General features: G+C 40.9%; 3 annotated features.

Moving 5' to 3' along the window:
• Positions 6376 to 7016: an enhancer, noted in NCBI's record as "OCT4-NANOG hESC enhancer chr6:121940073-121940713 (GRCh37/hg19 assembly coordinates)". NCBI's record gives its function as "activates a minimal SCP1, AML or CMV promoter by ChIP-STARR-seq in primed H9 embryonic stem cells {active_cell/tissue: H9 hESC(primed)}" and the evidence as "EXISTENCE:reporter gene assay evidence [ECO:0000049][PMID:30033119]".
• Positions 7812 to 8464: an enhancer, noted in NCBI's record as "OCT4-NANOG-H3K27ac-H3K4me1 hESC enhancer chr6:121941509-121942161 (GRCh37/hg19 assembly coordinates)". NCBI's record gives its function as "activates a minimal SCP1, AML or CMV promoter by ChIP-STARR-seq in naive H9 embryonic stem cells {active_cell/tissue: H9 hESC(naive)}" and the evidence as "EXISTENCE:reporter gene assay evidence [ECO:0000049][PMID:30033119]".
• Positions 14646 to 15845: an enhancer, noted in NCBI's record as "BRD4-independent group 4 enhancer chr6:121948343-121949542 (GRCh37/hg19 assembly coordinates)". NCBI's record gives its function as "activates an origin of replication core promoter dependent on BRD2, P300/CBP, MED14 and CDK7 cofactors, and independent of BRD4, by STARR-seq in HCT116 cells {active_cell/tissue: HCT116}" and the evidence as "EXISTENCE:reporter gene assay evidence [ECO:0000049][PMID:35650434]".

Genomic DNA, 16262 nt, shown 5'->3' on the forward strand with positions numbered 1-16262 from the left:
TAAACTTCAAAGTAGGTAATAGCTTCAAAGAGATAGAAATTTAGCCCAGACAACAAAACAAAACGAAACAAAACCATAAAACAAAACAAATCGAGATGGCTCAGGGGTAAGAGACTTGACCAAAAATGTGGCGTTAGTCTTTAGAAGCTTTATTAAGAAAACTTCGAAAGTCAATTACCCATTTGTAGTTTGCCCCTCGAATACTGCACGGGCAGTGAGCTGCACTTTTTTTTTCTAAACAACAAATGGGTTAAAAATAATTCAACTTAATAATAATTGGAAAGGAGCAGCAGGTAATCAGTCACTCATGCTAATGCTTTGTGCTTTTCTTAAGGAATACTGCTTTATGTTGCTTTTACAGTATGAGGAATTTGATGCTTACCCAAATTTTTAAATTAAGATGAAAACATAATACAATGCACCACAGTCAAAATAAACAACTTTGAACACAGCCCAGATAAAATGGTTTTGTATTTTCACTGATGGAAATACCTATTGAGACATCCGAAGGGATTTAAACTGCATTCACTTAAGCAACCGGAATATTTAGTTTTGATGTTATCAGCACCATGGGCAGGTTGTCTCCTGAACATGCTTGACTGAAAAATAGTTTGGCTTAGCTTAGTGTTTTGCTCATCAAAGGATAAAGCATTACTGGACATTTTTATGGATAATTTTTTTAAATGTCGTGAATATAGTGAACTATGTATCTTCCCTAAATTAATGTTTCCCAGATCCCCTTTGGCATACTTATGTGCACATTCAGTAACAGTAGAATGAAAAGAAGGGTGGGGTTTATTTAGGTTTAAAGTCTGTAGAAGGAAGAGACAGTATACACTTCACACACACACACACACACACACACACACACACACACAAACCTAAAGGTTATCTTTATTATACATGCAATATATGCTCATTAATGAACATTTATCAAAAATAAACTGAAAAGAAAAAAACAAAATGCTCCTAGTTGCGTTTTATACCCATACGACGATTGTTAATGTTTTACCATATTTTGTTTAAAACATTATTTTCTACACATTTATTGTTGATATTATTTATTTTAGATATATGTTTAGATATAACAATCTTTTAACTATGATAGGCCAGGTGCAGTAGCTCATGCCTGTAACCTCAGCCCTTTAGGAGGCTGAGGTGGGAGGATCACTTGAGCCCATGAGTTTGATACCAGCCTGGGCAACACAGTGAGACCCATATCTCTACAAAAAAGGTAAAAATCAGTTGGGTGTGGTGGCATGCTCCTGTAGTCCCAGCTGCTTGGGAGGCTGAGGTGGGAGGATTGCTTGAGCCCGGGAGATGGGGTCTCACCATGTTGCCCAGGCTGGTCTTGAACTCCTGAGCTCAAGTGATCTGCCTGCCTCAGCCTCCCAGAGTGCTGGGATTACAAGCATGAGCCACCGTGTCCAGCCTAAAATGTACATTTGAAACTCCATTGACTGATTCCACCTACATACAAGATGTTATGCAGATTATACTGTTTCAAAACCATGAATATTTATTAGTCCACACATAGTACCTGACCCAAAATAGGCTCTAAAATGATATTTCTTTTATTTATTTATTGTAAAGACAGGGTCTCACTATGTTGCTCAGGCTGATCTTGAATTCCTGGCCTCAAGAAATCCTCCTGCCTTGACCTCCCAAAGTTCTGGGATTACAGACATGAGTCACTGTGCCCGGACTAAAATAAGTAATATTTCTTGAGGAGATGAATAATGTTTTTAACAGCAATAGATTGTGAAAATACTTGGTCTCTGCTCAAAAGATCTTATAATATTGTTGGAACGATGTCAACACATAAAAATGTGACGTGTTGAAATGAGGGTAAGGATAAGTTCAGAGAAGGCAGTGGCCGGCAGGGCATGGAGCTGTGAGAAACAATTCCCGAAGAAAACAAGATTTGAGATGGACCATGAAGCTGAGTAGAATTTATGTTGTTTAGCTTAGAGGTAGAGATATCACAGATGGAAACAATAGCAGGAACAAAAGCTGAGAGAAGCTATTGGACACAATATATCCAGAAAAATAGCATGAAAGGAGGACTAATTGAAGAATAATATACCGATAGCTTAGGTCTAGGGATAAAGCTACATGACAGCTTTCACGGGATAAGCAGAGCTCAAGTAAGTAGTTATAACTGTGATGACATTTACAAAGCTGAAGTTGTACAGCAGGTGTATGGGAGTATAGCTGGCACATTGAACCCATTGGACACATGAGTGTGCAGACTGCACCTGTATGTTGTCTCTCATTATCCCTTTAAAATTTGGAGGGAGGTGATTTTCTGCTCCCATGAATACTTGGACAATGTCATTTTACATTTATGGTCACTTTAGATTACAAACATGTTCTAAGCCAGAAATTAGAGTGCTTGCCCCTTCTCATAGTCAAGTTTCTAGCTCCATTCCATGTAAATGCTGTGCTCCCTCAGGTTTTCAGTAGGGGTAGAGGTGTGGTTGCCTCCTTCTTTCTCATTCCTTTTTTACTAGTTGCTATTCCTGACTCTTCTGGGGAAGGGCTGAAGGTGTGAGGAAGAAAAATAGGAAAGAGGAAGAGAACATTTCTTATTGGATTAGGACTATTCTAAATTGATTCCTTGGTCCTGGGCCTGGCCCTTGTCTAAAACTGACTCTTTTGAGGGTGATTTTGGATGTTCTTAGTAGAGTCTCTCACCTGTACTTTCCTTGCCTAAGGTGCTGTCTTCTCTTGCAGGTTGCATACACGTTCCTCACATGCCCTAAGAACCATGGGATACTTTTAGCTTCTCTCCACTGAGGTCTTCCTCCCTGCCCCTACGCCTAGATGGTCCTGATAGAACCTAAGTTGGCTCCACAACTTCTTTTCATTGTGCATGGCCCACACCTGCTCTTGGGGACCTTCACACAGCATTTGCCCTATTGATGATGGGAGTGCAGGCAGATTCCAAAGAAACTCATCTTCTTCAGATCATCTCTTAGTATGACAACCATCTCACATTCTTTTTGGCATTTCTGTACAGCATGTCAGACACCAGTCCCCTATATATTCTCTTAACTGTAGAAGATGAATAGCAAACTCTTTAAAAACTCTCCTTCAAGCCACTTTCACTAGGTTTCAGGTGTGAATAGACAATGGAGAGGTCCTCCCAGTGGTGGGTATTGGTCTCGCAGCCCAGCTATTCCCAATAAATCATCTTGAAAAACCTTTGATCTCCATATAAATGAAAGGTTAAGGAGTCATGAACTGGGTTTGACGTTTTTCTCTAAAGGTTTCCATCGTGGTTTTCTACCTCACCTTAATGCCATTTTAGGAATTCACCCAAAACTTCTATTTTAAATCTTCTTCCAGGAGAATATATGTAAAATACAGGACCTAACTTTGTCTGTGAGACCAGCAAAAATATTCCTAAGGAAATGAAGAGGGAAATTTCAATGAAGCAAAGAAAAGAACATTTCAAGAATGGAAGATTACTGAATAGTGTTAAAGGCTTATAAGAAGGCAAGTAAGAGAAGGACTGAGAACTCATTTCTTTGGCAACCTTGGAAAGAACAAATACCATGAGAAGTGTAGGTGGAAATTAACTAGTATGAGGCTGAAAAAAGAATAAGTAAGGAAATGAAGACCACGAACTTTCAAACTTCAGAAAATTTTGAAGTGAAGAGGAGTTGTGGATTCTTTTCAAATAGGAAAGAAAGTGCTATAGGAAGAAGTTGGTAGATTAAAAAGTGGTTGATGATACCAGTAAGAGAAGTAATAATTTAAAGGATAGATAGTGAATTCAAAAAGACTAGAGGGGCTGGAATCCAAAGTTGAGGTAAAGCTTAGCCTTGGGCAAGAGAAACACCTCCTAGTCATGTATTAAGAGAAAAGAATTAGTGCACATTTAGGGGAGATTTGAAGATTTGGTATTTGGAAGCTGAAGAGTTCATGACTTGATGGCTTCTACTTCCTCAGTTTAATAGTAAAGTCCTAGATTAAGTAATTTTGGGTGGGGGAGGTAATTGGGAGAAATAACATGAACTTGAATAACAGAAGGCCTTGTCGGGTGGATCACCTGAGTTTTCAATGAGTCATTAGATTTCCAGTTTGCCTGACCAACATGGTGAAATCTTGTCTCTACTAAGAATACAAAAATTAACTGGCTTGGTGGCGTGTGCCTGTAGTCCCAGCTACTCAGGAGGTTGAGACAGGAGAATTGCTTGAACCTGGGAGGTGGAGGTTGCAGTGAGCTGAAATCACGCCACTGCACTCCAGCCTGGGTGACAGAGCGAGACTCCGTCTCAAAAAAAAAAGGAGAAGGCCTTAAATATCTTCTTAAGTCTGAATTTGACATGATAGGAGAGGAAAAATTATAAAATATGTAAATTTGGAGTTATTTTGATTGATAATTTCAGACAGTGCTTACTCTGCACAAGAACCTGTACAAGTGCTTTGCAAACACACACCAATCCAATTCCGTGTCTCCACTCACCTGGGACTACTCTTAACTTCCAATCCATTCTTTCACCCCCACAAACCATTCTCAGTACAGCAGCCAAAGTAGAGTTTACAAGAATACAAACCATGTCAACATCCCTGTTTTAAGCACAAGGTCTTGCATGGCTTCCCAGTGCCTGGAGGTAAGTCTCACATGGTCTGGACCCTGCCAGTCCCTGCAACTTCATCTTCTGTTGTGTGGTACATTGTTTTGGAACTCTGGTAAATAGATCTGTTTTTATTTCACTTAAGGTTTCTAACAAGGTTTTTACAGGAATATGAGAAAGCTGTTGGGATTTATTTCAGATTATTTCTGAACATTACTTAGGTAATTTTTTGTAATACACATGTAAAATGAATACACTGAAAGAAACCAATTCTCCCCCAAACCCTGAATTTCTTTTTCATAGAGCTTGAACTCTTATTTAAGTTTCAGTAAAAAAAAAAAAAAAAAAAAAAAAAAAAAAAGGAAAAGCTCTTATAAAGTGTTGTATTCTCACTACCCAAGTAGGGATAGGGTAAACCAATGCATGGTAATGAGAATTATGAGAAAATGCTGACACTTTGTTTTATACTTGTCTATTTATTCAAATCTCTCTCCTCTCACCCTATTTTGTTTTTATGCCTCTGTCAACCTGAATAAGTATGTATTGGGCAGAATATCAAAATAAATTTTCTGTTATTTTTAGTCTTATTTCATATTTAAATAAACCTGTAAATTTGGGGTAGTTTTACTAACCCATTAACATTTTCTGTGGGGATAAAAAAAAAGTCTGTGAAGTTTTACCACGGCGAGAATTTTTTTCCTCTTTTTTCTTTCTGTCATTTTTTTAAAAAAGCTAATGTAAAAAAATGTGGCAGTACATCCTTAAGTCTTAAGATTCCCCAAAATGAACAAACAAAAGATGATAAAAGACATTGGTTTAGTTTTAGTACTTCTTTGTATTCCAAAATAAATACGTAAAACAGGAAATAATTCCTACTTAAATATTCTTGGGCAAGATCATTAGACAATATTTATTAATTTAGTGTGATCTACATAAACTGACACTTTTGGCTATTTTGAAAATTTTTCAATGAGTCATTAGATTTCCAATTTGCACGTTTTAAAGAAAATGTTTTTAAAAATGTGGATGTTCAAGTAAGAAGATATCTCAAATTCATGTATTTGAAACACTTGATATATATTTTTCTATGACTTGTGAGTTACTACTCATTTTTTTGAGTTTTTTTTAAATGTCCCAATAATTTGGTTAACTTTTGCAAATAACACCTATGCAGTAATCAGTAATGAAATAAATATCACTCACCAAAGTCATAAAATAAAACTTAATTCAAGATAGTAGCATTCTTCTACTTTTTCTTCCACTCTGCTTTCTTCCACTTTTTAGATATATAGATATAGATAGATACAGATATAGATATAGACAGATTCTGGCTTTGTTACTGGGCATTTGCATGCAAGTATATATTTTGTTTTGACAAATCATTTTTCTACTCTACCTTAGTAGCTTTCATGACCTCTACTGACTCAATAGATTATAAGAGAAGACACACTGCTGTACTGATTTTTAAAATTGTATATTTGCTTTAGAGAGAAATAAATTGAATAGGAAGGACTAGAAAAAATGATTTAACCAAATACTAAGAGAGCAAATTTGATACATGTTGATCAGGTACTAATTCAGCTCATCCTTTCCTCTTCAGCAGGCTACTCCGGTTTACTCAGAATGTGAGGGGAGACAGGCGTCTATCTTTACATGTGGCCTAGTGACCAGAAGCATCAGCATCACCTAGGAACTTGTTAGAAATGCAAATCTGTGAGCACCATCTCAGACTTGCTGTATTAGTCAGCGTTCTGCAGAAAAACAGAACATATTCATCTATATCTATCTATATCTGTATCTATATATCTGAAGATTTGTAATAGGAATTGGCTCACATAATTATGGAGGCCAAGAAGTCCCACAATCTGCCTGCTACGTGTATGTTGGAGATCCAGAAAAGCCAGTGGTGTAATTCAGTCTGAGTCTGAAGGCCACTGGGGAGCCAATGACATATAACCAAACCTGAGGTCATGAGAAGATGAAATGATATAGCCAAGCTCAAGAAGTTAGGCAGGAACAAAGGGGAAATTCCTCCTTTCTCAGCCTTTTGTTCTATTCAGGCCCTCCATGGATTGGATGATGCCCAACCACACTGGGGAGGGCAATCTACTTTACTGAGTCCACCGACTCAAATGCTAATTTCATTCAGAAACATCCTCCCAGACACACCCAGAAACAATGTTTAATTTGAGTACTCCCACAGCCCACCCAAGTTGGCACATAAAATTAAGCATCACACTTGCTTAATGAAAAGCCAGAGTGTGAGGTCTAGTACTTGTACTTTAACAGAGCTTCCAGATAATTCTGATTCTGGCACAGTTACCAAGAAAAGAACAGTGCTCCATGCAGAAGAATATAATTGATTTATTACATTGATTTATTACAAATATAAATATGTGAAATCAATGATGTAAATTGTGAAAATTATGTTATGGTTTTTGTTTGTTCCACACGAGTGTAAACCTCACAAATTTTTCAAGTGGATTTTCAAACATTTTAAACCCTATACCTTTTTTCTCACAAAAACATTTTATTCAGAATTATGGAAATTAGAACCAATCACAGATAGGACTACTTTAGCACAACCAAAACCACCCGTCTTGTCACCCTCACTTCTTAAGACCTCTTAAGGTCCGTAACGTTTCTTCAAGATTCATAATAAAATCAGAGCAAGCCCTGTAATATTGCTTCAGCAAAGCATGACGTATCAATTGCACCATCTGGGGAGAAACCTATGTGGTCTTATACATGAAATCTATGCTATTTCAATTGAACTCCCACAGCTAACTTCACCCCAATATTTTAGCCACACTAAGACTATGGGAAGGAACAAGCACTCAGAAATGCAGGGTGGTCAGCCAATTTGCATAATATGAATTCAATAGGTTTAAAATTTTTTATTTAACATTTATTTAGAGAAGAAGCTGTTAGTCTCATGGGGGCAGGGTAGGGTAGGTTAAAGCCAGTGATGGGGCCTCAGCTCTGCTCTGCAAAACCTACTTTACAAATTAAAGCTCCTCTTTTAAGTTGGACCCACCCTCTGACAGAGACAGTTTAATGACCATCTGTTTTTATTCAAAATACTCCTTGGGGGAAGGAGGCATCTCACCTCACACTCCAAGCGGCTTATCAAAGTATTTCCTTCCAACCAAAGACAAACATGTTCCCTGAGAAGAGAGCTGGTAGATATTTTCTTTCTTCATTTTTTTACATGTCCTGGAATGGTTCAGCAACCTAATAATGTTTTATCAATCCTCGTGAGCACTTCTCTCAGATCCTGGCTTTCATGCATGTCCGTGTGAAGAGACCACCAAACAGGCTTTGTGTGAGCAACATGGCTGTTTATTTCACCTGGGTGCAGGTGGGCTGAGTCCGAAGAGAGTCAGCGAAGGGAGATAAGGGTGGAGCCATTTCATAGGATTCGGGTAGGTAAAGGAAAATTACAGTCAAAGAGGGTTTATTCTCTGGCGGGCAGGAGTGGGGGTCACAAAGTGCTCTGTGGGGGTGCTTTTGAGCCAGGATGAGCCAGGAAAAGGACTTTCACAAGGTAATGTCATCACTTAAGGCAAGGACCGGCCATTTACACTTCTTTTGTGGTGGAATGTCATCAGTTAAGGTGGGGCAGGGCATATTCACTTCTTTTGTGATTCTTCAGTTACTTCAGGCCATCTGGGTGTATACGTGCAAGTCACAGGGGATGTGATGGCTTGGCTTGGGCTCAGAGGCCTGACATTCCTGCCTTCTTATATTAATAAGAAAAATAAAACAAAATGGTGTTGAAGTGTTGGGGCGGTGAAAATTTTTGGGGGGTGGTACGGAGAGAGAATGGGCGATGTTTCTCAGGGCTGCTTCAAGTGGGATTAGGGGCGGCGTGGGAACCTAGAGTGGGAGAGATTAAGCTGAAGGGAGGTCTTGTGGTAAGGGGTGATATTGTGGGGATGTTAGAAGAAACATTTGTCTTATAGAATGATTGGTGATGGCCTGGATACGGTTTTGGATGAATTGAGAAACTAAATGGAATAACAGAAGGAGAAAAACAGGTATAAAAGATCGAAGAATTGGGACGACTCAGGACATCTGATTAGACAGTGCCTAAAGAGATTCAGCATAGTCCTGCCAGCAAAGATTATTTATTTACTTCAAGAGTTAAGAGTGGCAGTTTGGGGATAGCACCAGGAGATATCAGCTGTGATGGCTTGGAAAAACAGTGTAAACTGGCAGTGTAAACAAGAGCAGGGCATGTATGAGTAGTTGAGAACGGTGAATAGGAGTATGACTAGACAGAAGATAGTAGGGATGACAAGTTTTTTTGGGGCACAGTCTAACTTGGTCTGGTGTCTAGAATGAGACTGGGGCCTAATAAAAAGGAGCGTCTATACAGGAGCTCAAATGGGCTGTACCCTGCAGCATTCCAAGGACGGGCCTGAATTCTGAGAAGGGAAAGTGGTAAAAGTATTGTCCAGTCCTTTTTAAGTTGGTGGCTGAGCTTGGTGAGGTGTGTTTTTAAAAGACCTTTAGTCCATTCTACTTTTCTTGAAGACAGAGGACCGTAAGGGATATAAAGGTTTCACTGAATACTAAGAGCCTGAAAAACTGCTTGGCTGATTTGACTAATAAAGGCTCGTCTGTTATCAGACTGTATTGAGGTGGGAAGGCTAAACTGAGGAATTATGTCTGACAGAAGGGAAGAAATGACTGTGGTGGCCTTCTCAGACCCTGTAGGAAAGGCCTCTACCTATCCAGTGAAAGTATCTAACTAGACTAAGAGGTATTTTAGTTATCCGACTCAGGGCATGTTGAGTAAAGCTAATTTGCCAGTCCTGGGTGGGGCAAATCCTCGAGCTTGATGTGTAGGGAAGGGAGGGGGCCTGAATAATCCCTGAGGAGTAGTAGAATAGCAGATGGAACACTGAGAAGTTATTTCCTTGAGGATAGATTTCCACGATGGAAAGGAAATGAGAGGTTCTGAGAGGCGGGCTAGTGGCTTGTTCTATAGCATAACCTGCCTTTGCTGGTGTGTGTCGATTAGGCCTGGTGGAATCGCCATCACTAAATCAAGCGTGATCAGGGTGAGGAACAGGAAAGAAGGAAATTTGGGGAAATGGGGTGAATGTCAGGTGGATCAGAGAGATACAGTCATGGGGGTCAGGTGTGGTATCAGGAATAATGTGGGAGACCGGATTGAAGTCTGGGCCAGGAACAACGGTAATTGTGGGAGACTCAACAAAGAGTGAGTATAGCTGAAGGAGCCAGGAAGCAGAAAGTATATGCATCAGGTATGAGGAAGCAAATAGATTTTGGAAGTTATGAGAACTATAGAGAGTGAGTTGAACATAGTTTGTGATTTTTAGGGCCTCTAAAAGTATTAAAGCAGCAGCAGCCACTGCACGCAGACATGAGGGCTAGGCTAAAACAGTAAGGTCAAGTTGTTTGGACAGAAAGGCTAAAGGGTGTGGTCCTGGCTCCTGTGTAAGAATTCAGACCATGCTAACCATGCCTAGGAAGGAAAGGAGTTGTTGTTTTGTAGAAGGTGCTGGGGTTTGAGAGATCAGTCGGACACGATTGGCAGGGAGAGCACGTGTGATTTATGAGAATTATGCCGAGATAGGTAACAGATGAGGAAGAAATTTGGGCTTGATTGAAGTAATGGGGGCTGTCTGTGAAGCTTTGCAGCAGTACAGCCTAGGTAATTTGCTGAGCTTGATGGGTGTCAGGGTCAGTCCAAGTGAAAGTGAAGAGAGGCTGGTATTAAGGGTGCAAAGGAATAGTAAAGAAAGCATGTTTGAGATCTAGAAGAGAATAATGGGTTATAGAGGCAGGTATTGAGGATAGGAGAGTATATGGGTTTGGCACCACGGGGTGGATAGGCAAAACAATTTGGTTGATAAGGTGCAGATCCTGAACTAACTTGTAAGGCTTGTCTGGTTTTAGGACAGGTAAAATGGGGGAATTGTAAGGAGAGTTTATAGGCTTTAAAAGGCCATGCTGTAGCAGGCGAGTGATAACAGGCTTTAATCTTTTTAAAGCATGCTGCGGGATGGGATATTGGCATTGAGTGGGGTAAGGGTGATTAGGTTTTAATGAGATGGTAAGGGGTGCATGATCGGTCGCCAAGGAGGGAGTAGAGGTATCTTATACTTGTGGGTTAAGGGGGGTGGATACAAGAGGAGGATGCAAAGGAGGCTTTGGATTGGGAAGAAGGGCGGCAATGAGATATAGCTGTAGTCCAGGAATAGTCAGGGAAGCAGATAATTTAGTTAAAGTGTCTCAGCCTAATAAGGGAACTGGGCAGGTGGGGATAACTAAAAAGGAGTGCTTAAAAGAGTATTGTCTAAGTTGGCACCAGAGTTGGGGAGTTTTAAGAGGTTTAGAAGCCTGGCCGTCAATACCCACAACAGTTATGGAGGCAAGGGAAACAGGCCCTTGAAAAGAAGGTAATGTGGAGTGGGTAGCCTCCGTATTGATTAAGAAGGGGACGGGCTTACCTTCCACTGTGAGAGTTACCTGAAGCTTGGCGTCCGTGATGGTCTAGGGGGCTTCCAAGGCGATCGGGCAGTGTCAGTCTTCAGCTGCTAAGCCGAGAAGATCTGGGAAGGAGTCAGTCAGAGAGCCTTGGGCCAGAGTTCCAGGGGCTCTGGGAGTGGCTGCCAGGTGAGTTGAACAGTCCGATTTTCAGTGGGGTCCCACAGAGATGGGACGTGGCTTAGGAGGAATCCCGGGCTGCGGGCATTCCTTGGCCCAGAGGCCAGATTTCCGGCACATGTAGCAAGCTCCTGTGGGAGGAGGTTCTAGAGGAATGCCTGGCCGCTGCGGTTCAGGTGTTTGGAAGTTCTTGTGTGCTGGAGATGTGGCTGGGGTTTGTCTCACAGTGGAGGCAAGGAATTGCAACTTTTTTCTATCATTGTACACCTTGAAGGTGAGGTTAATTAAATCCTGTTGTGGGGTTTGAGGGCCAGAATTTAATTTTTGGAGTTTTATTTAATGTCGGGAGCAGATTGGGTAATAAAATGTATTTTGAGAATAAGACGGCCTTTTGACTTTTTAGGGTCTAGGGCTGTAAAGTGTCTCAGGGTTGCTGCCAAACAAGTCATGAACTGGGCTGGATTTTTATATTTGATGAAAAAGAGCCTAAACGCTATCCGATTTGGGATAAAGAAAAAGGAGCATTAACCTTGACTATGCCTTTGGCTCCAGCCACCTTTTTAAGAGTAAATTGCTGGGCAGGTGGGGGAGGGCTAGTCAAGAACGAAACTGTAAGCCAGACCAGGTGTGAGGAGGGGAGGCGATAAAAAGATTATAGGGTGGAGGAGCGGAGGCTGAGGAAGCATTGGGACCTAGCTAGGCCTGGCAAGGAGGGGAGAGGTCAGATGGGTCTGTAGAAAAGGAAGATTAGAAAGACTCATCGATGCTTGGGTTTGGGACTTAGGGGACAGGCGGGAGGGAAAGAAGGAAGATTTGGGATGATTTGCACTGGGCACAGAGACAAGGAAGGGACTGATGTGTAAAAGAATGCCTGGACGTCAGGCACCTCAGACTGTTTGCCTATTTTAGGACAAGAATTATTTAGATCTTGCAGGATGGAAAAATTCAAAGTGCCATTTTCTGGCTATTTGGAACTACAGTCGAGTTTGTATTGGGGTCAAGTGGCATTGCAGAAGAAAATAAGGCATTTAGGTTTTAGGTCAGTTGTGAGTTGAAGAGATTTTAAGTTTTTGAGAACACAGGCCAAGGGAGTAGAAGGAGGAATGGAGGGTGGAAGGTTGCCTATAGTGAAGGAAGCAAGCCTAGAGAAGAGAGTAGAGAAATGGAGGGAAGGGGTTTGGGGGTTCTTCCCTTCCAGAAAAGTGGGAAAAGGGGTTAGGGCACAGAGATAAGAGGTCAGGGCATGGAAATAAGGGGTTGGGGCATGGAAATAAGGGGTCAGGGCATGGAAATAAGGGATTGGGGCACAGAGATACGAGGTTGGGGTGCGGAAATAAGGGATTGGGGGTTCTTGCCCCCTAGAAAAGCGGGACTTGCCGCTAAGGGTGAAAGAGAAGGGGTTGAGGGGTACTTGCCCCTCCCCCAGAAAAGCGGGACTTGCCACTAAGGGTGAAGGAGAAGGGGTTGAGGGGTACTTGCCCCTCACCCAGAAAAGCAGGACTTGCCACTAAGGGTGAAGGAGAAGGGGTTGAGGGGTACTTGCCCCTGCCCCAGGAAAGGAGAGAAGGGGTAGAGACAAGGAGAGAAGGGGTTGGGGTACTTGCCTCTTCCCCAGAAAAGCGGGACTTGCTGCTAAGCGTGAAGGACCAAGGCAGGCGTCCCTGCGTGGTCTGACACCTTTGAAACGTGGGTGAATAATCAGAGAGGCATCCCTGCAATGATTAAACACCAAGGGAAGCCTGCCTTCCCAGTCTGTGACTGGCGCCGGAGTTTTGGGTCCACAGATAAAACGTGTCTCCTTTGTCTCTCCCAGAAAATGAAAGGAATTGAAATTAAGAGAAGGGAGAGATTGAAGAGTGGAAAGAAGAAAGTGGTTGAGGGACAGTGAGAGAGGTTGGAGAAGAGAGTAAGAAGAGGCCACCTACCTGATTTAAAATTGGTGAGATGTTCCTTGGGCTGGTCAGTCTGAGGACCTGAGGTCGTAGGTGGATCTTTCTCATGGAGCAAAGAACAAGAGGACAGGGGATTGATCTCCCAGGGGAGTTCCCCCAATCCGAGTCACGGCGCCAAATTTCATGCACGTCTGTGTGAAGAGACCACCAAACAGGCTTTGTGTGAGCAACATGGCTATTTATTTCACCTGGGTGCAGGCAGGTGAAAATAAGAGAGTCAGCGAAAGGGAGATAAGGGTGGGGCTGTTTTATAGGATTTGGGTGGGTAAAGGAAAATTACAGTCAAAGGGGGTTTGTTCTCTCGCGGGCAGGAGTAGGGGTCGCAAGGTGCTCAGTGGGGGTGCTTTTTGAGCCAGGATGAGCCAGGAAAAGGACTTTCACAAGGTAATGTCATCACTTAAGGCAAGGACTGGCCATTTACACTTCTTTTGTGGTGGAATGTCATCAATTAAGGTGGGCCAGGGCATACTCACTTCTTTTGTGATTCTTCAGTTTCTTCAGGCCATCTGGGCGTATACGTGCAAGTCACAGGGGATGTGATGGCTTGGCTTGGGCTCAGAGGCCTGACACTGGCCTTGATTAAGATTTAGGGGAAGACATGCTGTCTGCAGTGCACTCTACTTAATCTTCCTGCAATATCTAAATTTATTAATCTCAATTTGCTAGTCTCCAAAATAGGAGTCATTAACCCTTTTTATAGATGAAAAAATGAGTTTCAGAAATCAAGATACTAAAGTTTAGGTAATATAATTCACAAATTACACAGCCTAGATTCAAAATCATGGTTTCAAATAGCATGATTTGCCCATGACCTTTCCCCTATATACTGCAGGAAAAACTATACTAGACAATACTATCCCCAAGTCTCATATGTAAGAAACAAAGCCAGCTTAAGGATGTAGAGTAAAGAGATTTGGATTTTATGGACAGAGGGATTATGAATATGTTTTGCTTTATTTTGTTTCTTATTTGTTTGTTTTTTGTTTTTCCTAGCTGGAATACGGCATGTAGTGTGGAGAGATTAAAGAAAGAGGGAAATGAGAAGGTTTAGGTTCATTTTTGGAAAATTGAAATACTTAACACTTATTTTGCTATTGTCATCTAACATGTATTGAGCATTATCTTACACAACCTTGATCTAGTATTATTTTAATCACGATTTCTAAGACTTCTGGAACCACATGGCAACTGGAACTACACAGCAAGTATTCTTCATCTGGGTCCTTAGATATGAGAAGATAAGCTTCCAGGGGTCCATAAATACAGAGATTAGAGGCAGAGTTTTACCTGTGAGTGCCTTTCTCTGGGAAGAGGTTCAATAGTTCCTTCAGATCATGAAGAGTATCCATGAGCTAAAAGTAGTTAAGGAAAACAAAATTTCTATAGCTTCATATTGCAGTTCTAAGGAATCTTGCCCTTTCTCATGACTTGTATAACCTACAACCTACACTGTCTTTAGGACTTCAGACATAAAATTTAGTCTCCTAATGAACATCAACCTTAAGAGGTCCTATAGCATTTGCAAACTCAGGATGTCTAAATGTGTGTTGTGCATGCATTGCACACACATTCTCCTCTTGATTTCATATCTCATTTGGTGACAATACCATCCTCTTCTCCATCCAGGAAAACTGGTTCTCATCCTATTATTCCCTTTCTGCTTCTTTTAATCAAACACCAAACACTGCTAATTATATACCTCATAAGAAACTGTTGAATCCATTCTCTCTTTTGTAGTTCTAGGTTGGCTTTTACAACCTCCTTCCTCTGTGATCTCTTTCAACCATCTACTCCACTTACTTTAAGTGGCTCTTCAAAGATGCTGATACTTTTCATGGCACACAAAGTCTGCAACACTTTTTCATCTTTCCCACTATTTTGCCTACACACTTAATATTCCGTTTTCATAACTACATCTTTTGTAGAACAAATTCTCCCTATATTTTTTCTTAAATGCTTGCTCTTTGTATTGCACTCATTCTGATCTTCCTCTCATCCCTCACAAATTTCTATCAAAATTAATGACTCTTTTTTGAAGCCTCCCTGACTGCCCAAGGATGAATTAAGTGCTCCTTCTCTGTGCTTCTGTCTAGGGCAGTGGTTCTCAAATTTTAATTGCAACAGAATCACCTAGAGGGCTTGTTAAAACATCAATTGCTGATTCAGGTGCTGATTCAGGTTCTGATTCAGCAGGTCTTGGGGTGGAGCCTGAACAGCTGACCAGGTCAAACAGTTATCATCTGGGACTTAGCTCCACACGCACTGAACTGGGTCAACTCCTGGGTCACTCTGGTTCATAGAAATCCCGAGCCAAGACAATGGCTCAGCATGTTACTAAGTAGCAATCTCTGCATGAGGTTTGTTCTGTATCACCAGCCAGTCTTCTCATAAGGGGTTCTAGAACTTGGACAGCATGTGGAGTTATATATGACTGCCTACCAAGCACAACTGCACCAGAGGTATTGATTCACATTACTTTTTTTTACTGAAGTACTAGCGTTTCATCTCCAGCAGCAAAATTCACTACTTATAGAAATACTTTTACTGACTTGAGCTCCATAATTTTCAATTGACTGACTTTTAGGAGAGAATTATCAAAGCTATCAGAGTTGTAACATCTCTGAACTAAAATGATCTGGATACATTTATTTTCTAGTTTTAAGAAGCAGTAACAAACTGAACAATTATTTGACTCTGCAAGTAATTATGAGAGACAGCAAAGAAAAAATAGTTTTATGGTTATTTGGAAAGCTAAGGTCATATTTGCAAGGATAAAACAGTCCTTTTAAACTGCTGAGAAATATGCCTGTATAAAAAGAAATGACTCAAGATTTTCTGCTTGTATTATTGAATAAATGTATCTAAGAACAGTCAGGCAATTTACCTATTTGAAAAACAAATCTGCTAGCAGATTTCTTAAGAAGGACCTCTACCATGGTGCTGACTTTACTAGAGTCATAATGCACTTTGCATTACATAGTTGGAAACAAACAGCAATAGAAACTCATTGTATCTTAATACCTCATTCTCTGCTTTGAAATTCTTTGAAGGTCATTTTCCTGTTTCAGTTTAAGAAGTCATG

This window comes from Homo sapiens, chromosome 6, assembly GCF_000001405.40.
Source record: "Homo sapiens chromosome 6, GRCh38.p14 Primary Assembly".
Classification (NCBI taxonomy): Eukaryota; Metazoa; Chordata; class Mammalia; order Primates; family Hominidae; genus Homo; species Homo sapiens.